Source organism: Homo sapiens, chromosome 10 (genome assembly GCF_000001405.40).
Source record: "Homo sapiens chromosome 10, GRCh38.p14 Primary Assembly".
NCBI lineage: Eukaryota > Metazoa > Chordata > Mammalia > Primates > Hominidae > Homo > Homo sapiens.
The window spans coordinates 10,816,622-10,838,953 of NC_000010.11; the positions used below are offsets into that span (position 1 = coordinate 10,816,622).

General features: G+C 41.1%; 1 protein-coding gene across 24 annotated transcripts in view, besides 2 other annotated features; it reads left to right on the plus strand.

Annotated features, from left to right (window-relative positions):
• The window catches only part of CELF2 (CUGBP Elav-like family member 2), an 874,126-nt gene that overhangs the window by 354,072 nt on the left and 497,722 nt on the right, over nt 1–22,332 (plus strand). The window lies entirely within an intron of this gene.
• Nucleotides 3,927–4,473: an enhancer, noted in NCBI's record as "NANOG hESC enhancer chr10:10862511-10863057 (GRCh37/hg19 assembly coordinates)". NCBI's record gives its function as "activates a minimal SCP1, AML or CMV promoter by ChIP-STARR-seq in naive H9 embryonic stem cells {active_cell/tissue: H9 hESC(naive)}" and the evidence as "EXISTENCE:reporter gene assay evidence [ECO:0000049][PMID:30033119]".
• Nucleotides 14,104–15,303: an enhancer, noted in NCBI's record as "CDK7 strongly-dependent group 2 enhancer chr10:10872688-10873887 (GRCh37/hg19 assembly coordinates)". NCBI's record gives its function as "activates an origin of replication core promoter dependent on BRD2, BRD4, P300/CBP, MED14 and CDK7 cofactors, with strong dependence on CDK7, by STARR-seq in HCT116 cells {active_cell/tissue: HCT116}" and the evidence as "EXISTENCE:reporter gene assay evidence [ECO:0000049][PMID:35650434]".

The following is a 22,332-nucleotide window of genomic DNA, read 5'->3' on the forward strand; positions in this document are numbered from 1 at the left end:
TGGAAAACAAGTCATATCTTAAAAATGCAATCCATTCTTCAGATGGGCCTTGGATAAACAAACTTAGTATTACTCAAGCTAATCATATGGTACTAATTTGCTTCCTTGCTTTGCCATTAAATTCTCCACAGGTGATTCCATGTAACGATTTGGTTTAGTATGGTCCAGGTTCAGGTAATGGATTAAAGTTAAGCAGATACTCTTTTAAAAAGACAGCTTGTAGCCATAGGCTGTACTGGAGTCTTCAACATGAAAACCTCTTGTATATGAAAGATAAAATATGCAAATATGCACTACTCTGGCCCTTCCTTAAGAAAGAAAATTACTGAAAGTTGGAAAAGAAAATTGGGAACCTATAGGTCAGATAAGGTGGTGTCAGCAATTCCAACAACTGACTTGGAAGCTGAGCCTGGAAGTTTCCAGATGGTACAGAACCAACATGGCGGGCAGTGGACGGTGGGAGAGTGTGCAAAGAGGACTGATGTTTTACATGGAATCCAAGTGAGAAGAAAAGGAATAGACACATCTGTCTGTGTTAGGCTAAGTTTAGGGCATTAACATGAGGGTTTTTTTCCTTTTTTTAATTTTTGTGGGTACATAGTGGGTGTACATATTTATGAGGTACATGAGATGTTTTGATACAGGCATGCAATGTGTAATCACATCCCCTCAAACATTTATCCTTTGAGTTACAAACAAGCCAATAGCACTCTTTAAATTATTTTAAAACGTACAATTAAGTTATTGTTGACTATAGTCATTCCCACTGTGCTACCAAATAGTAGGTCTTATTCATTCTTTCTGACTATTTTTTGGTAACATTAACCATCCCCAGCTTCCCCCAACCCCCGCATTACGCTTCCCAGCCTCTGGTAACCATCCTTCTACTCTCTATGTCCATGAGTTCAATTGTTTTGATTTTTAGATCCCACCAGTAAGTGAGAATATACAGTGTTTGTCTTCCTGTGCCTGGCTTACTTCATTTAACATAATGATCTCCAGTTCCATCTATGTTGTTGCAAACGACTCGATCTCATTTTTTATGGCTGAATAGTACTCCATTGTGTATACGTACCACATTTTCTTTATCCATTCATTGGCTGATGAACAGTTAGGTGGCTTCCAAATCTTAGCTATTGTAAACAGTGTTGCAACAAACATAGAAGCAATAACATCATTATGTCGTAAAGTAATAAGGTTACTGAACTTTTGCTCCCTTACTACTATTGCTTGATTTAATTTGTGTTTGAGGCCCAGTGTATAGTAAGACAGTAGACTTTTGTGCAAAATAGACCTGAATTCAAATCCAGTCTGCCACTTCATAACTGTAGGACCTTAGGTAAGTATTGAATCTCTGAGGTAGCCGACCTTACAAAGCACCTAGCACATGGTACTCACCCACCCACTCATTAAACAAACTGATGTTGCCGCTAATATCACTTGTACATAAAGCCAAATATTTCTGATCACCAAGGGTATTTCATTGGGGTCAATAAAATTGTCTAGGCAGCATCTATTCAGAAACTATATTTTGGGGCTATAATCTTTAAGAGGTACTATATGCCACTGGTTTTGTGTTAATACGCATTCACAAGGCCTCCAGGAACTCCTCTGGTGATCCACCCATCTGTTCTGCCAGGAAAAGACAGCTCTGTGGCCAGCATGAGTGTATCAGTCACATGCACCAGACTCCAAAAGCAGAGGACCCAAGCAGATCCAGCTGTCTAGCCACTGAAGTAGTAAATCCAAAAGAAAGGTTTTTCTCATTAGATGACGTTCTGCTTCCATTAGAGAAGTGATCATAGTTTCAGATCCCAGTTGTATGACCTTACTTACAGAAGCTGATAAGGAAAAAGACAGCTTCATTTCTGGGGGCCAAAGCTCTCAGCCTTCAGTGGTTCCAACAAGCAGCATTAAATATTTCCTTTTTTTTTTTTTTTTTTTTCTTGAGACAGAGTCTCACTGTCTGTCGCCCAGGCTGGAGTGCAGTGGCGCGATCTCAACTCACTGCAGCCTCCACCTCCCAGGTTCAAGTGATTCTCATGCCTCAGCCTCCTGAGTAGCTGGGATTACTGCCATCATGGGGTTATGCCATGGGATAGCTGCCATCATGCCTGGCCAATTTTTGTGTTTTTTAGTAGAGATGGGGTTTCCCCATGTTGACCAGGCTGGTCTCGACCTCCTAACCTCGAGTAATCTGCCTGCCTCGGCCTCCCAAAATGTTGGGATTACAGGCATGAGCCACCATGCCCAGACAGCGTGGCATATTTCCTTCAGAAAGTTGAATGTCTGAGCCACTCTTACCTGGGCTTCTTGGGTGTGTGTGTCCTGTGGTAGAGGTACAGTCAACTGAAACTTAATAGTATCTCACCAAGTAGACTAACCAGGAAGCACTTGGCACAGACATGGGATGAGCCCAGACTTGGGCTGATAGTGATTGCATTTACCTGGTTATTAATTCTGGGTAAATTCTTGACCTCCCTGAGTTTCTGTATTCTCATCTCTAACATGGGAATGATAGCTGTTCAGTATACCTCTCAAGGTGTTGGGTATTTGAATTATGAAACTATAAAGCATATACAAAGTTATCCTTGCTTTAATGGGGTTTTAGTTACATTTTAATTTTATTTTAATTAAAAAGATAACATTTAAGGGGAATGTGAGATACTGATGTTGATCGAAAGGGAACCTGAGTCAACTAAGGTCAGACGCAGCGCTCTGGGATAACCCTATTTGAAGAGGAAGTGCTGAAATCAGCCTAGCTTTAGAGCCAGAAACCACGAATTTTAGCATGAGTTTAGCGTGAAACTGTTTTTGCCAGGGTTACCAATGCCAAATCTTAATAACCAGATCCAGTGGCCCACTTTTAACCCTCATTGTTCTGGAACTCTCAAAGCATTAACGTTGTTGACTCACCCCTTTCTCTTTGAGAAGTTTGCTCTCATGGCTTCCACGAGACTGGAGAGAGAACATCCACTGGTTCTCTCCTGCATCTGTGCTCACTCCTCCTTCCCCTCTGCCACCTCCCCCTCTGCATACCTAGGCCTTTATCTTTGACCTTCTTTTCCTCTGCTCTCCAAGATGTCAAGCAGCTCTCCAAGAGGGCTGACTGGAGCTTGCAGAAGTGTTTTGTTTTGCTAATAGAATGTCTTAGGTTGGGTCTGATTTTTCATGCACCTTCAGTTCCCACCCATTGTCAACTGTCTCAGACTTTACAGTTTCATGGCCTCCCTTATTGTATGTTATCTGGGTGGTCCCTATGGGCATTTGAGCTTGCATCCCTTCTCTGTACCTGATACTGTTTGGCTTTGTCCCCACCAAATCTCAATTTGAATTTATCTCCCACAGTTCCCGTGTGTTGTGGGAGGGACCCAGGGGGAGGTAAATGAATCATGGGGACCTGTCTTTCCTGTGCTATTCTTGTGATAGCAAATAAGTCTCATGGAATCTGATGGGTTTATAGAGGGTTTCCGCTTTTGCTTCTTCCTCATTTTTCTCTTGCCACCACCATGTAAGAAGTGCCTTTCGCCTCCCGCCATGATTCTGAAGCCTCGCCAGCCATGTGGAACTCTAAGTCCAATTAAACCTCTTTTTGTTCTCAGTTTCGGGTACGTCTTTATCAGCAGCATTAAAATGAACTAATATTAGTACTCTTTTCTGTGGGTATCCTGTAGAAATCATTTAAAAAGGGAAAAATCTGTAACTTGTCCTGCACAGAATTCATTGCTCCAACTCTCTGCATTGTCCAACTCTTCTCAACTTTGATCAATGACTTCCACCATCTCCCCATTCTTCCATGTTAGAAACCATGGACTTATTCCATCTGTTTTTATTCAAATATTTATTGAGTATCTAATATGTGCCAGGAGGAGAATTCATTGGTGAGTATAAACAGACATGGCCCCTGCCTCATGGAATTTACTGCCTAGTCAGAAAAACAGTAGTGAGATAACACAAAATAAATACAAAATCACACCTGCACTAAGGGGTGGACAGAGAGGTACAGAGTGTTGTGAGGGTGACACACAGATCTCTCACTCAGTTAGGGAAATCAAGAAAGGAGTTCCTGAGGAATCGTTACTCACACTGAGATCAGAACACCATATGGGAGTCAACCAGCGAGGACAGGAATGAGGGTTAAGCCACATTCAAGGCCGCATTGAAGATTTTGTTCTCTCATTGTAAGAGCAATGGAAACCATTTACACCTTCAAACAGAGCACCACTAAGAGATTTGCATTTCTACAAGTTCATTCTGAGAATGGTGGAGAGGATGCATTTGAAGGGAACCAGAGTGAATCTCGGAGAGCATTCTGGGGGTTATTGTAGATATCCCGGCCAGAGATGACAGTAGTTTGGGTTGTGACAAGAGCAATGAGGCTAGAGAAAAGTGGATAGATTCAAATGATTTCAAGGAAGTCAAACATAAGGGATTGGAGTGACATTGGTTGTGGGGCTGAAGGAAAAGAAAGTGTCCAGCAAGCTGCCGAGGTTTCTGGTATGGGTGGGGGTATCATTTATGTAGATTGAATCCTGCCAGGCAACCAGGTTTGGGGTTGACTTTGGACATCTAGCGTCCAAGGTACCTCTAATATGCCAAAGAGAGAGCTTCCAGGTGACTGTCTGGCTCTGGAATTCCAAGGGAATGGCTGGAGAAATCTTTCTAGACCTCACTTGTGTAGAGTTGGCCACTGAAGGCACACGTGGATGCTGGGTGCATGTGTGTGGGCAGGCACGGAGCCGAGCCATTGGTTCTTGGCATGGAAAGGCGAGAGTACCAGGGACAGAGGTTTGAAGTCACCAGTGGGTCATTGCCTCTCCCTGCCATGTGTATTTAATTATCATTAAGTTATTTCATGTTCTCCTTGGAAGCCCCCTCCAGGGTTAAAGTCCTTCTTGTCTTCCTGCTTCCGCCTGACTTGAGGCCTCCATCATTCTACTGAAATGTCCTGAAAGCCTCTAACAGGGCTTCCTGACTCTCTCTTCCAGCTCCAGGGCTTACCACAGTTGCTGCAGGGGTTTCCTTGGTTTTTTGTTTTTTTAAGGATCATGTCTTGCTCTGTTGCCCGGGCTGGAGTGGCGCGATCATAGCTCACTGCAGCCTCAAGCTCCTGGACTCAAGCAATCCTCTTGCCTCAGCCTCCTGAATAGGTGGGAGTATGTGGTGATGCACGATGCCCAGCTAATTTTTTAAATTTTTTGTAGAAATGAGGTCTTGCTTTTTGGCCCAGGCTGGTCTCGAATTCCTGGGCTCAAGCAATCCTCCTGCCTCGGCCTCCCAAAGTGCTGGGAGCCACCATGCCCTGCTGGGGATTACTTTATTAAAAGACAAGGATGATTTTATTTCTCCCCTGCTGAGAAGCCTTGGGGCATCGGTGGCCAACAGGAAGTGGATGTTTTGAGCTGGCACACAGACTACACACAATGCAGCCACTCCTTCCCTTTCTATTCTCTCACAACCACCTGTTGATGTGGCCGCCTGGCAGGTACCACGTTGTGCTGTGGTTGCTTGTTCTAGAGCCTGTGTTTCCTCTGCAGCTGCGATGCAATATGCTCTGGACTGGATGTCACCACCTCTGCATCCCCAGAGCCTGGAAGGGGACCGGCCTACAGGGGCCATGCCGCCCTGTGACTTTAGCTGCTGTCTGGCTGTTTGTTTCTGCCTTCCTTTGCTTCTGTACAAATGTATTAATAGACAGGAAGTCATTGCCTCTTGACTATCTCAGAGGCAAATTCTGCAGTAAAGGAAGAGATTTCCTTGCCTCAAGGAGAGGAGTTACATAAACAGTGCTTAGAAGAAATAATAGTAATGCATATGCAGTCATGTGTTTATAAGTTGGCAAAGCTGCTTCACTAGTTGAGGCATGATATTATTTTTACTCAAAATAAAATGCCCTCAAAACCCCTTGGATTGCATTCCACAGATTAATTATATGTGTTCAGCCAGAAGTTCAACCTTCAGTTTGAAGAACCTCTGGGGAAAAGATGTCTTTTTAAGCGATTAACTACCTGTGCTTTTAATATATAGACCTGATTTACTGTTTCACTGTTTTTCTCCTACTGAGGTTCTTTGCTTCCTTTCTTTTCATATGTCAGAAAGAGAGAGAAAGAGGAAGGGGGAGAAGGAGAGAGAGAACATGTTTTTGAACAAGTTTCAAAACCTAGTCATTTGGAGTAAAGAAAATTGGATTATTTACTTATTATAGATTTTATATTTCTTGTCTTGCTTGGAAAGCAGCTGGCTGGCCCTAATAGCTTACCCAGGACTAATGCATTCCAAAGAATCTACTTATAAAGACCATTTCTGTACAGATCTAAAATTTTCATTTGTGAGGCAAGGTTAAATTCATTAGATAAATCCAAAATCGATTTTTTAGAAATAGTTTACTTACTTTATTAAGTGTTTAGATATATGTGGGTTATTGAGAATAAAATATTTTCTTGAAATGGAGCAAAAAAGACCCTTAAAATGGCATATGTAATTTAATTCTTCTGTAGTTTTCTTTTTTAAAAAATCACAATTAGAAAGGACTTTTTAAAGCTTTTTATGTGCATAGAAAGAAACAGAAAAAATATAGGTATGGCCTGTACCTTCTAGTGCTCTAGTTATAAATATAAATTCATAGTGAGTCTGTAGTTGAATATCACATATTAATTAAGTAAAAATTCCGTATCTGAACATTGTCTCACAGCATCTTGGTTGCTGGGTCTGCATTTGCAGGCGTTCCCAGGGTTGTGGGATGAGCTGAGAGTAAAGATCTGGGCACTCGCAGGAATGGAAATTGGGATCTGGCTGTAGGAATGGCTATTCCTTAACACACTGTGTGACCTTTCAAGTTCAAGGATTCCCTCAAACTGGCATACAATGCTTTCTAAACTGTAGGTGACAGAAATAACATAAGGGCTTTTGTTATCTGAGCTGTGTCTGTATGTGTATCTGTGTATGCATGTTTTCTTATGCACAAAAAAAAATAGAATGGCTGAATTATGTTAAATGTAAAAAACATCAACATAATTTTTATTCATTTAAAAATACTAACCTAAATGCGGCAGAGATAATCGTATTAATAAATTTTTATAAGTATGGATCTCACCTGCTATTTAATCATTGCAAGCCAAACAATGTTCTAAACATTTGACATCTATGAGCTTATTTAATTCTTGCAACGACCCTGTAAAGCAAGTATTATTCTTATACCCATTTTATATATGAGAAAAAGCATAAAACTTGTTCAAACACACCATTAATGTTTAAGTATGTATGCTTATTTCAGATCGTGTGTGTGTGTACGTGTGGATAGATGGGTAGATAGCTGAATGGATGAATGGATAGATAGATCTAGCAGATGATAGATAGATAGATAGATACATAGATACATAGATACATAGATAAATAGATGATAGATAAGAGAGAGAGAGAGAGATGTTTGTTTTACAGAAGATAGAATCAAAGCTAGCTGCAACTGAGAGATAAAAGTTCATTTTCCCTTCTAATACCATTTGGAATTTGTTTCTATTATACAACAAATTTTAGCCATTAAAGTTTAAAAATAGAAAGTCTGGTATATTAAAATCTATGCAAGAACTTTACGAAAGCCTTTTGTTTTCTCTTCCAAATAATGAGCTGTGTTGTCTGAGCCAGCCATACCCAAGAATGTTATTAATAGTGTGTGATTTTCAAAATGTATTTATTTATTTGGCCAACAAAAACAGGGTTTCCTAGAATTTTCCATTTGTCTCATCTCACAGTACCTCTCACCTCTCAGTTTTATCCACAAAACCCCCCAAATTCAAATGCATATCTGGAACCTGACATCTTCAACCAAGACTCTGCAGAGAAAAGAATAAAATGAAGTAAAACTTAAGGATGTTTGAGATCCTTGTCAAACCATCCTTCAGTGCTCATCTGAGATTTTCCCCTTTCCCTGCCCCCATGGCTCTTGGATAATAGTTATGCACATTCTCTAACTGGAGCTTTAACCCTATTAATGTTGAACCATACTTTTGGTAAGAATACAAAGTGTAAACCCACTTAAAGTGACTCCTTTCTTAAGCAATGTCAGAAATATTTAGTCTCTGTTGCTGCACAGACTGTGCGTGAATTGCAGCCAGAGGTCAGCTCAGATATGCGCTTGCACATTCAAGCTGCCAAAAAACATAAGAACATATTTAGAACAATGAATTGTTAAGTTGAAGCTTTCAATTCTCATGGAACGTTAACTCTCCAGCACTCATCGACACCTCTTTGAGCCTCTGATTAAGAAGGAAAATCAGGAAAAGAACATGGACCTGGGCCACCTAATGGAAATATTTCATCAGGCAGTGACCTTTGTGTTTGTCATTGTTTGTCCTCTCTGTTTCCCGGGGCATACTGTTTTAATAAGCGTTTGTAATTATAATCTACACAAGCGTCTTAATAGTTTCCAAAGATACTTGGAAACTCATTGGGGCTGTTTCACAATCGGAAATTGATGTTTATTTGGAGATGACTATGGTAGGATCCTGAGCTCCAGCCTCCCTGTCTGATTTGAGTGGGGTTTTGGAGGGAAGGATACCGATTTTTTTTGTTGTTGTTTTTTTGTTTTTTGTTTTTTGTGTTTTGTTTTTGAGACGGAGTCTCGCTCTGTCACCCAGGCTGGAGTGCAGTGGCGCGATCTCGACTCACTGCAAGCTCCGCCTCCCAGGTTCACACCATTCTCCTGCCTCAGCCTCCCAAGTAGCTGGCACTACAGGCGCCCGCCACCAAGCCCAGCTAATTTTTTGTATTTTTTAGTAGAGACGGGGTTTCACTGTGTTAGCCAGGCTGGTCTTGATTTCCTGACCTTGTGATCTGTCCACCTCGGCCTCCCAAAGTGCTGGGATTACAGGCATGAGCCACCGCGCCCAGCTGGATACCGATGTTTTAAGTGTCCAATGGTGATAGCAAGATTCCTGTGTTCCCATAAACTTTCATAATGGTAAAGCTAATATTTGCACATGTGCTTAAATGTGCCTGTCATTTTTGCTTTGTAGGGGTCAGTCTTTACTGGATTTGGTCAGCAGCCATCTAGGTATCCGGAGTGTTGGTGGACTTCTCTGCAAAGTAATATAGCAGCAAAGAGTCCTGAGCCTCCCAGGCTGTGTCCCCACCTGCCTAGAGGACTCTGAGTAAATTCCTTTCTCTCCCAAGGCCTCAGTTTCCTTATCTGCAAAATGATAAAATTAGACCAGATTATCTCTCAGGTCTGAAGCTGTGATTAAAAGATGCTTGTGAAGCCATGTCCAAAGATCATCTTCATGAGTGGGTTACTCAGACATAGATCTTTTAAGAATAACAATAATATTATCTATATCCAATGAGCGTATACTCTCTGCCAGGAGCTGTACTAAGACTTCAAATCTCTGATATTAATCCTTACAGCAGGACTAGGAATAGAGTCAGATAAAGGGGCTGTAGAGCCAAACAAATGCCAGAGTAATCAAACCATAAGAGGGTTGATTTCTAATATATTATTCCTATTTTCACTAAATAAATATATGCCAATATTTAACTAATAGTGATTGGATGGGGCAAAAAAAAAACAATCCTTAGTTTTTCCTGGATGCCCATTTCTCTTGGTATGGCTCTCCTTTGAATATTATTCACATTCAGCTGATGAGGAAATCAAGGATCATGGAGGCTGTGTAACCTGCTTAGTTATTCATCTAGCTGTGGTCAAGATGGACTTCAAATTCACGTATACCACTGTCCATGACTCATGGTCTCAGACACAATGGTTTATGACTAAGGTTCTGGGATTTATCAAATAAAAATACAGGACATCCAGTTAAATTTGAATTTCAGATAAGCAATAAATAATTACTGAGTGTGAGTATGTCTCAAATATTGCATGGGCTATGCTTATGCTAAAAAAAATCACTTGTCATTTGTCTGAAACTCAAATGTAATTGGGAATCCTGTATTTTTGTCTGACAATCCTGTCTATGACAGAACCCAGTGATGGAAGCTGCATCTCTGTGCTTTACTAAATACTGTGAGTGGACAGAAGGTTCTATCTCTGAGAAGTTCGAGATCCAGATGATGAAATGGAAACAATAGATACAGTGAAAATGGAAATACCCATGAGAGCACCTGAGTTGCCTTCAAAGATAAAGAATGCTTTGTTCTAGGGGCTCTGTTTTGTATTTTTGTCTCTCAGGTCCAGAATTTGCATTGCTGTTTGTGCAAAGTAATCAAGAGAAGCAGAATTATAGAATTTCCATGTAGGGAGTGGCTAGCCTTTAGAATCCAGAGATGTGGATGTCTTAATGTACAAATGAGGCCGTGAACTGTGCACAGAGTCATAACTGGTTGGGAATAAAATGCAGTGTTGTGACTTCCTTCCCTGGGATCTTTCAGGGAATGAGGTGTGAAGGAATGCTCTAGATAGGATAGAATTAATCAAGTAGGACTAAGTAATTCTGCGCCCTCCTGGAAATTTTATTGAGATCAAAGAGGGTTGTTTGTTTGTTTGTTTGTTTGTTTGTTTTGCAGGAGTTAGAAGGAAATTCTGATATTTTGACCCAGATCCCTGGGGTACTGAAGGACTTATTCTCCTGCATTTTACAAATATTTGCATATCCCCATGAGCACATGATAGCCTCCACCCCAGAGTATGCAGAAGGTAAACATCTCAATAATGGGGTACTCAGGGATTTTTGTCCGTCCTCTCTCATTTTATTAACTCTGTTAAGAATTATTTCACTGCTAACACTCTCACTTCTTCATCACGTCTCCTTCTGAGGATAAGTAGGGAAAATAGGAAAAATATAAAATGCAAATCATTTATCTTTGCAACCTGAGAAGAGACTAGTTTGGAAAAGCATCAGTGAAGAAAAAAGAGTTTAAAGACATAGCGAAACAGGATTCATCCACTGATTTTCAGTAATTGATCATATACTTCACCCTAGCTACCAAGGATGACCTAAAGTAGACTGATTATGTTAGTCCCTCCTCTAGCCATGGAAAGTATTCATATTCCCTAACGTGTCACAGGGGAGCTGATTTATGCTTGTGATTCAGGTATCCAGGATAGTTACTCCTTACAACACTTCTTAAAAGTACTTGTGTGTCGTATCTGTCATTGACTTGATTTTTCTCTATGCAAAGAATATTGTTAGGCAAAAATATGTATGTAGGAGAGAGAAAGCATGTGTGTTCCATTACAAAAATAAAATAAAGCAAAGAATGCAAATCTTGAGTGGAGAAGTGTAAGTTATAAATCTCATTTTTCACTAGAGAGTAGAATAAAACACCTTTAAAAATAAAACTAATTTGAATTAGGGAATCAATCAAAACCATAAATGAATGCAAATCAAAACTGCAAGATACCACATCATACCCGTCAGGAAGGCTAGTCTTAAAAAAAAAAAAAAAAAAAAAAAAGCAGAAAATAACAAGTTTTGGTACAGTGTTGGTGGGAATGTAAAACAGTGCAGTTGCTACAGAAAACAGTATGATGGTTTCTCAAAAAACCGCGAACAGAATTACCAGGTGATCCAGCAATTCTACTTCTGGGTATGTACCCAAAGGAATTAAAAGCTGGTTCTCAAAGAGGTGTTTGTATACCTATGTTCACAGCAGCATTATTCATGACAGCATTATTCATTCAGAGGCAACCCAAGTAGCCATCAACAGGTGAATAGATAAACAAAATGTGGTATATGCATATAATGGAATATTATTCAGCCTCAAAAAAGAGGGGAATTCTGACCCATGCTACAACACGGATGGACCTTATGAGCATTACGGTGAGTGAAAGAAGCCAGTCAATAAAAAGGCAAACACTGTATGATTCCACTTATATGAGGTGCCCAGGATAGTCAGATTCATAAAGACAGAAAGTCGAGTGGTGGCGGTCAGGCACTGTGTGTGGGGAGAATGGGGAGCTGTTTAATGGGGACAGAATTTCAGTTTGGGATGAAAAGAGTTCTGAAGATTAGTTACAAAGCAGTGTGAGTATACTTAATGATACTAAACTATGCACTTCAAATGGTTTCAATGGTCATTTTTATGTTATGTTTATTATAATTACAAAGAAATCAACAGATAAAATGGATTTGGTCACTCATTTATAAAACCAATATTTATGTTCCAAACAGTATGTTAGACCAAGAATGTCCAGGGCTAAGACTGATATTCTGAAGTACTTTAGTAAGCATTCAAAAAGTATTCATGGAAGGACAGGAATGAATTGAATAAGCAATGGATGAAGGAATGCATGATCCCACTGAAAGTGATGCTGAGCCTGGTTGGTCATTTCTGTCACAGGCATAAGGAGAAGTAGCAACACTTGCTGCAAATTGACCTTCCAAAATTGTCCACCAAAACACAAAATGAAAAACAGCATATATGTCCAAGACCAGAGTTTAGAAGAGGGGATCAAATGGAAAAGAAAAATATGTAATATAGATTTATAAGTTATATTACACAGAATAAACCCACAAAGATGATCTCCTGTGTTGAGGAATGGTTCATTGTCATCAATCTTATCTTCTCACCATAGTTATCTTGTCACTGTCCTATGGACTGATACGTATCTTGAATATTGACTTGCAAACCTGTTCTTCTTCTCCGCTTTTGATCCCTTTCTGATGAAAGTTGAAATAGGCAAACAAAGCATGATATGATACAGGAAAACAGTCACAATTATTCATACAGTAAAAACAGAATAGCTTAAAAATACTTTTGATTATAAATCAATCCATAATCCGGGAGTTAGGAACCCTGAATCTTTCTTCCAACCTAATTGTTAACAAGCTGTGGACCTTGATTGGCTATATCACCCCATATCTGAGACTCATGATCTATTATGTATCTAGACTTCAGAGAAGGGTCTTTCCAGGGATGACTTCCTGTAAATTTATGAATTTGAGATTTTGATCAATTCAATCAATTTGTGCCATAATTTTATGGAATTTGGACTTAAATATCTTTATTCCTTCCCAGATGTTATTCCAAGGGAATTGATCTGTCACATTTGTAGGCACAGCAGGCTTTGGGACATAAGGTGCTAGGTTTTTTTCTGAGTGCCTTTCTAGTAAAAGCTTTAGCATGTTCTTCTGCCTCTAGGACTCAAGCCAGCCAACATCCCCAGAGATAAGAAGCAAAACAGAGAGGATGGGGTGACTGGGACACACACAGTGGCCTGGCTGAACTGAGATGGTGACTCTCAGCTCGTCCAGAGGTTGACTTCTGTGTTACGTGGTGCATATGTTCTAATGGAGCTTCTCAATGTTTCAGGCAGTTTGCAAATTTTTGGAACTGATGTCATCTCATTTTTAACACACAACTACCTTTTCCAAAATCCAGGCAGTAGCAACCTGTAACCCCCCTGGCCAAGTTCTCTTCCCCCACCAACCCCACCACCACCATTTCTTCAATCCTCTATGATATTTACCTCTTTGCCTGCCTGGCATGAGTGTATCCGTGTAGAAAAGTTAAACTATAGGCAGTCATGGGTCAAGAGGCAGCAATTTCTGTTGAAAAGTTGTATAAGACTCCTCTTTTGAAAATGCCTGGCTGATGTACTGTAATGAAAGTTTCCCCACTTAGATATCTATAAGCAATTGTTTAGGCTGTGAAAAGATTTCCAAACGGCAATACAAACTGTGAGCTATTGAATGCCATGGAGTTCCTTTAAAAAAAAAAAAAAAAAAGCCGACAGAAGGATACTGTAGAATTACAGTAATAATTCAAACAGTATTTATAGCAGACTGTTAGAATCTGAGTTGCAATGTAATCATAGCTATTTTATAGCAAGTCTTTACCTTAATACCAGTCTATTTCCTAAAAGCTTAAAAAATATAACATAGTTCGTATAATATGTCACCCATAATGAAGCCAAGTTTGATTCGTCATTTTGTGTTACTCTTCCTTAGGTCCTTGGAGGATTTAAAAATAATAATAATAACTTACAATTCACTCCCTTCTTTTCTTTTAACAAAACTTCCTACTGCTTACCCTGTGAGAAAGACTAAGGAAAGAAAATGAAAGGGCTGTGGGAAAGAAGTCAGTCAAAAACAAGCCCACAAAACTCAAGGGGCTGTATTTCTTTTATTTTTTTTTTCTTTTACATAGAAAGCATTCGCGTAAAGAAAATAAGAGATTTATAATTCCCATAATTTGGCTAGAAGAAGCACACAACTGCATACTTCCTGTGTGTTAGTCATTTTTGGTTGCCTAGCTGCAAAACACAAATATATTACAAAACTGTGTTTTTATCACAGTGGTACACATCTGTCAATGAATCCACTCTCCTGACTTTTTGTCCAATGCGTTAAAAACAATAGATGACACCATATCAAATTCCTAGTTTCTGATTACTTCAGCCTTGCTTAACTCTGCATTTGATCTTCAAACTAGCTTAAATGTTGGGTTTGTGTGAGGCTGGAGGAGAGAGAATTGCCTAAATTAAACCAAAAAGTGCTGGAAATGGGCAATGGTGGAATCCTAGAACTTTTTATTTTCTTCCTGAAGCCTGTAGAACAAAGAAAGGAGTCCTCTTACATTCTGAAGTGAATTGGATTTCCAATTGCGCACTTCAAGTACGTTAGCATTAAATAACCACGAGTCACCCAGTGTTGACTTCGGATGGTGTCATGAGTGTTCTGAGACACTTGAAGGTGACCCCAGATTCCCTGGTGTTTACTCCCTCAGGGTTGGCTGAAGGTCGTGACTCACACTGAGGGCAGTCAGGACACTTCTGGAACAAGGTTTCCGAAGCCACGCTGCCCTTCCTACATCAGGCAGTTGGCACAGACTGTTGTGTGTCAACTTCCTGTGAAGGCCCTCAGCCTAAAGAGGTGAGCCAATAAATCCTCAAGGAACGTGTTGAGAACAGGGATGAGAATGTGATGGCAAGATCGATGTTTCTGGACTTGTCCCTAGGGATATGAGACAGCCATCATTCCACTATGGACAAGGGGGCCCCTGACATCAACTTGCAGCCTGATCTCCACCTGGTCAAGCTGTTCCCAAATCAATGTTCCCCTAAGGGAGACCAGTACAATGCCTGGAACATGGTAGGCATTTAAATAAATATTTGCTATGGCTGGGCAAGGTGGCTCATGCCTATAAACCCAGCACTTTGGGAGGCCAAGATGGCTGGATCACTTGAGGTCAGGAGTTCGAGACCAGCCTGACCAACATGGTGAAACCCTGTCTCTACTAAAAATACAAAAATTAGCCAGGTGTGGTGGCATGCTCTTGTAATCCCAGCTACTCAGGAGGCTGAGGCACGAGAATCACTTGGACCCGGGAGGCGGAGGTTGCAGTGAACCAAGATTGCACCAGTGCACTCCAGCCTGGGTGACAGAGCGAGACTCCATCTTGAAAAAATAAATAAGGCCGGGCGCGGTGGCTCACACCTGTAATTTCAGCACTTTGAGAGGCCAAAGCAGGCGGATTGCCTGAGCTCAGGAGTTCGAGACTATCCTGGCCAACGTGGTAAAACCCTGTATCTACTAAAAATACAAAAATTAGCCGGGAGTGGTGGCAAGTGCCTGTAGTCCCAGCCAGTCAGGAGGCTGAGGCAGGAGAATCACTTGGACCCAGGAGGCGGAGGTTCCAGTGAGCCAAGATCATGCCGCTGCACTCCAGCCTGGGCAACAGAGCGAGACTCCATCTAAAAAAAAAAAATAAAAATAAATAAATAAATAAGTAAAGATTTGCCAAGAGAAGAACAATTTGGAGAACTTTGTGGAAATGGTCTGAACACAAATATTCTAGAGCTACTCACGGGTAGATTTCAATATACCCAGGGCCTTTCCAAAGATCCCAGATATAGAGACAAGTAGGATCACCCGTAGCACAAGAATCATTTTTAAAAGCCAGGAAATAGCCCAGGTTCTTCTGCATTTCATGCTGGACCTCAACTTCTGGACAAATGCCATGTTTATAGTAGCACAAAGGAGAGAATAACCCTTTCGAAGAGTGATGATAGCTTTGTGAAGGGTGTGCAGGTGAGTCGGTTCAATAAAACATTGATGATCAAATCAATTGACTAAATAGTCCATGATTCAGGGCGGAAATCCCATACCGGATCCATTTACAGGACCTTTTCCCTAGGGTCCTTAGTGGTAGTCTCAAAGTTGCTTCTCCCTTCCCCAGTGTCTTGTTTTTAAAATGGAAATACTTGCATAAATAACCCCTGAGAACATGCATTCATTACACTGGAATCGGAGGGGAGAGAAGATAAAATGCAAAATTGGCCTATCACCACAAACAGTAAAGAATAAGATGCTTCTGTTATGAAAACTGGCTTTCTCAGATATCCAAGAATCACCTTAGGACAGCGTTTTAGAGCTCTGAATGCCAGGTGTACTCACCGACAATTTTTGAAGTTTTTGAGCCTCCTACAGACACAGAAAACTCTGTGTGTGTGTGTGTGTGTGTGTGTGTGTGTGTGTGTGTATTTTTAAAGTCAGCTCTGTGAAGAAAAAAATTTAGCAAAAAGAAAGATGTCATTTCTTACCTTTCATACTTTTGAGGATTCATTCTCATGCATAAAACTTTTGTGATAACGCCTTGTGTTTACGGCTTATCTTCTCTCCAAAGAGCTTTAAGCCCTGTTAGCATTATGGCACATAGCCCATTCTCATCAACCTGGTTAATGTAAACGAAGCAATAGCAGATTCAGTTCAAAACCACAGATAATGTTCAAAGGCACCTATGCTTGATTTGGGAATGTACCTGGTATTTTTCCTTACCAACTGTGTTCATTAAACTGATGCTGAAGGTGAACTCCTTTTCCGTAGCACACAGCAACTGGCAGTACAGAGAAGCTGTCCAATATCTCCTTGGGTCAGGGTGAGGCCAGGCCAAGAGTAAGACCTTGCTGTAAATCAGTTAGAAAGTAGATAATTAGGGGCAGGCAGCATTATCTCATTTATTCCCACACTATGCCTTGAAACTAGGTAGGAATATAATCAAGGATTGTGAATCGTGATGATGCGAACAGTGCGTGCACAGCCCCATGTTAGAAATGATGAGGAATTTAAAAGTGGATGTGAACACGAACAGTCACTTTTCAAAAGAAGACATACATGCAGCCAACAAGCATATGAAAAAAAAGCTCAGCATCACTGATCACTAGAGAAATGCAAATCAAAATCACAATGAGATACCATCTCGCACCAGTCAGAATGGCTATTATTGAAAAGTCAAAAAATAACAGATGCTGGTGAGGTTGCAGAGAAAAGGGAATGTCCATACCCTGTTGGTGGAAGTATAAATTAGTTCAGTCACTGTGGAAAACAGTGTGGAAATTCCTAAAACACTTAAAAACTGAACTACCATTCAACCCAGCAATCCCATTCCTGGGTATATACCCAAAAGAATATAAATCATTCTACCATAAAGACACTTGTACATGTATGTTCATTGCAGCACCATTCACAATAGCAAAGACACGGAATCAACCTAAATGTCCATCAGTAGTGGACTGGATAAAGAAAATATGGTACATATACATCATGGAATACTATGCAGCCATGAAAAACGAGATGGTGTCCTTTGCAGGGACATAGGTGGAGCTAGAAGCCATCATCCTTAGCGAAGTAACTCAGGAACAGAAAACCAAATACTGCGTGTTCTCACGTATAAGTGGGAGCTAAATGATGAGAACAGACGGACACATAGAGGGGAACAGCACACACTGGGGCCTATCAGAGGGTGGAGGTTGGGAGGAGGGAGAGGCTCAGGAAAAATAACTAATGGGTACCGGGCTTAACACCTGGATGATGAAATAATCTGTACAATAAACCCCCAAGACACAAGTTTACCTATATAGCAAACTGCAAATGTACCCCTGAACTTAACAAAAAGAATGAGGGGTGAGCTGGGCTCAAAAACACCACAGGACAGGCGACAGCCCAGACCAGACCATGTGTATTCCCTAGAATTCTCACAACTGCATGAAGTAGTTATTGCCATTTTACAGAAGATTCCAAGATTGCAGAGGTGAATGACCATTGTTACGAGGGATGGCTAGTAGGGACCATCCTGCAAGTCAGACCCAATTTTTTTACCTGACCCCAAAAGCCTTTCCTCTGCATAACAATGAGGAAGCTCACGAGAAATCTTCAACATCCCACTTCAGACAAAACTTTGGTTTGATGTGATAGATAATAAAATTATAAAAGTCATTAACAGCACGAGAGGAAGCCAGACACACGTGTGGCACAGGCTCCCAGCAGGCAGCCTTCATGGTGCTTGTCCGATGCTGCCTCTCCAGGCTCACCTTTCTCAGTGATTTGTGGATCTGTCTCCCTGGGCTCCACACCTTTGAACCATCTTTGTTCCCTCTCCTTTCTTATCAAAGCAGTAACAAAATTCTGTCTCTCCTACCTTCTTAATGTCTCTCACATTTGTGCCCTTTCTACCTCCCATTTTTCTTACATAAGAGGCTGGAGTATAAATTAGGGACATGGTGCCTGACTGGAGCATTAGCCTCCTCACTAAGCTTTGCATCTTGAAACTGCCAGTACCCCTTGTGGCCAGATGTTTTTTTTAATGTATTACTATTTTTAGAGACAAGGGTCTCCCTCTGTCTTACAGGATGGAGTGTGCTAGTGCAGTCCTAGCTCACTGCAGCCTCCGTGCTCGGCTAGTTATTTTTTATTATTATTTTTGTAGAGATGTGGTCTTGCCATGTTGCAATGGCTGACCTCAAACTCCTGATGTCAAGTAGCCCTCTGGCCTCAGTCTTCCCAGTAGCTGGGATTACAGGCTCCAGCAGATTGATTTTTTTTTTTTTTTCTGATATGAAGTTTTGCTCTGTCACCCAGGCTGGAGTGCAGTGGCGCAATCTCGGCTCACTGCAACCTCTGCCTCCCGGGTTCTAGCGATTCTCCTGCCTCAGCCTCCTCAGTAGCTGGGGCTACAGATGCCCGAAACCACACCCAGCTAATTTTTGTATTTTTAGCAGATATGGGGTTTCACCATGTTGGCCAGACTGGTCTCAAACTCCTGACCTCAGGTGATCCACCCCCTTCAGCCTCCTATAGTGCTGGGATTACAGGTGTGAGCCACCACGCCCAGCCCAGCAGATTGATTTTTAAATGTGTGCATGGTTATTGTGTATCAGCCTCTGAGTTTGCATGCCACGGTAGAAAAAGAGGCATAGTTTATCCCTCTGGATTTCATGATTTCATGGGGGACACAGACAACAATATGTAAACAAATGCATAATTGTAAGATCACAGAGCTGGACTGGATGGTGGGGTGCGGGGGCAGTGAGGCCAAGGGCAGAATCGAGGCTGACTTTAAGGTTTCTGTACAGAACGAAGTGATGGTAGTGCCGTTTATGAAAATGTGAAAGATTAGGGGGTGATTTGAAGTGGAGGGAGGGGAGGTTGAAAGACCAATTTTGGACATGTCAGCGTTGAGATAGTTCTTCCATAATTCTTAGGCATCCAAGAATAGGAGTCCCATGGACAGCTGTGTCTATAAGAGTGGAACTTAGAGAAGAATTCTGGGCTTGAGATATAAACTGTGGAATAAAAAATCAAACTGATGGAAATAAACCAAGCCATGGGGATAAATGAGGTCAACTAGGGAGAAGCATAAGAAAAGAAAAGGAGAAAGGAGGAGGGGGGACCTGAAGAACCACATCACCTAGAGGGTGGAGAGAGAAAGAAGAACCAGCAAATAAGAGTAGCTGGAGAGAGAAGGGGAAGATCCAGGAAGGGTGGTGTTACGGACACTGATAGAAAACTTTGTTTCAAGGGAAAGCAATCAATAGCAGTGTTAAATTCAGCTGAGAAACTAGAGATAAAACTACAAGTGTGTCTATTCGATATGACAACACTGAAGTAGATAACAACAACAACCAACGCATTGGTGGCCAGGCAGAAGCCTTTCTAGATTGGACTGAAAGAGAGAGAGGCAATGTATGCAGGCGAATCACTACTTAAAATTTTTATTTAATTCTGTGATTTTCTTACTGAGAAACTATAGAAGACTCCCTTTTGCCTGTCACATAAAATCTAGCCTTATTTTATTTTATTTTATTTTTTTTGAGATGGAGTCTCTCGCCCAGGCTGGAGTGCCATGGCACGATCTTGGCTCACTGCAACCTCTGCCTCCCAGGTTCAATTGATTCTCCTGCTTCAGCTTCCCGAGTAACTGGGACAACAGGCATGTGCCACCACGCCCGGCTAATTTTTTGTATTTTTAATAGAGATGGGGTTTCACCGCGTTAGCCAGGATGGTCTTGACCTCCTGACCTCGTGATCTGCCTGCCTTGTCCTCTCAAAGTGCTGGGATTACAGGCTTGAGCCACCACACCTGGCCTGTAGCCTCATTTTTAACTTGACCATATGAATACATTGGTCTGGTTAAATTGAACTAATCCTAAGTATTTCTTACCTCTGCACCTTTGCCTACAAGAACTCTTACACCAGGAATTCCCTGCTCACTCCTTTGTGCCGCACTCCTACGTTGTCATTCATGACTGCTGATATGGTTTGGTTGTGTCCCCACCCAAATCTCATTTTGAATTATAGCTCCCATCATTCCCACACGTTGTGGGAGGGACCCAGTGGGAGATAATTGAATCATGGGTGTGGTTTCCTCCATATTGTTCTGGAGGATTGTAGTGAATAAGTCTCATGAGATCTAATGATATTTTTAAAGAGTTTCCCCTTTCACTTGGCTCTCATTTTCTGTCTTGCCTGTTGCCATGTAAGACATGCCTTTCACCTTCCGCATGATTGTGAGCCCTCCCCAGCCTCGTGGAACTATGAGTCCATTAAACCTCTTTTTCTTTATAAATGACCCAGTCTCAGGTATGTCTTTATCAGCAGTGTGAAAACAGACTAATACAACTGCTGTGATCTTTTCATCCTCAGAATTTTTATTGCACCTTCTATCACCCTTGTAGTGGCATTTATGAGATACTGCTTTTATTCATGTATCTTTCATGTCTCAATGAAGGTTAGACTATAATGGACGTTATACTTGGCATTTTCCCGACACAAAATCTTATGCATATTAGTACAAAGTATTAACGGTCAGACTGGTGGTGACATTCCCCACTCAATTATTCCAAACTTTGGAGTCATTTTCAAGGAAAACAGACCCCTCAGACACCTCCCTATATGCCATCCCCAGGAAAAGTGCTGGCAAAGTGCAAGATCCTGACCCAATGGCCATGTTTTGTTTTGCTTTTAGTAGACTTTTTTTTTCCACTTTAGTTATAGATTTACAGAAAAATGGAAAATATAGCAGAAAGAAATTCTATCAACCCCACATCCAGTTTCCCCTATTGCTAATATCTTGTGTTAGTATGGTATATTTATCACAATTAATGAACCAGTATTGATACATGATTAATTACCCAAAGCCTGTACAGTATTCTGTTTTCCTTGCTTTTTACCTAATGTCCTTTTTCTGTTCCCGATTCCATCCAGGATGTCACAGTACATTTAGTGTCACGTTTCCTTGGGTTCTTCTTGGTTGGGACAGTTGCTTAGACCTCCCTTGGTTTTGATGACCTTGATCGTTTTGAGCAGGACTGCTTAGATATTTTGTCGAATGCTCCTCAATTGGGATTTGGCTGATGTTTTTCTCATGACTACACTGGGATTATGGGTTTGGGGGAGGAAGAGCACAGAAGTGAAGGACCACCATTCCCATCCCACTATATCGAGTGTACATGCTATCAACATGGCTTCTCATGGTTGATGTCCACCTCAGTCATCTGGTGTTGATCGCATTTCTCCACTACAAAGTTATTCTTTCTCCCACCTCTTACCATACTGCACTTTTTGGGAAGAAGTCACAACGTGCAGCCCACACTTAAGGAGTGGGGAATTATGCTTCACCTACTTCAGGGCAGGATATCTACAAGAAGTATTTGGAATTCTTCTGCATGGAAGTTATGTCTCTCGTTTCCCATTTATTTAGGTATTAAATTATTTATTTATATCAGATGAACTCACTGATTTATATTAATTTCATACTTTGGATTGTAATTCATTACTCCTTAATTTTGTTGCTTGAATTGTTCTGTCCTTGGCCATGGGATGCTCTTGTTCAGTTGTCTCCTAATGTATATGTCCTTTGACACATTCTCATGTGGGTTTTGTTTTGTTATATTTTGAGTACTTACCTGCTCAAAAACAAGATATTTTATGTACATCTTGTATTTTTCTTTCCCCTGTCCTAGAATCAGCCATTTCTCTAGGGAGTCCTGGTTCTATTTATTAGAAAATAGGCCGGGCACAGTGGCTCACACCTGTAATCCCAGCACTTTGGGAGGCCGAGGCGGGCAGGTCACGAGGTCAGGAGATTTGAGATCATCCTGGCTAA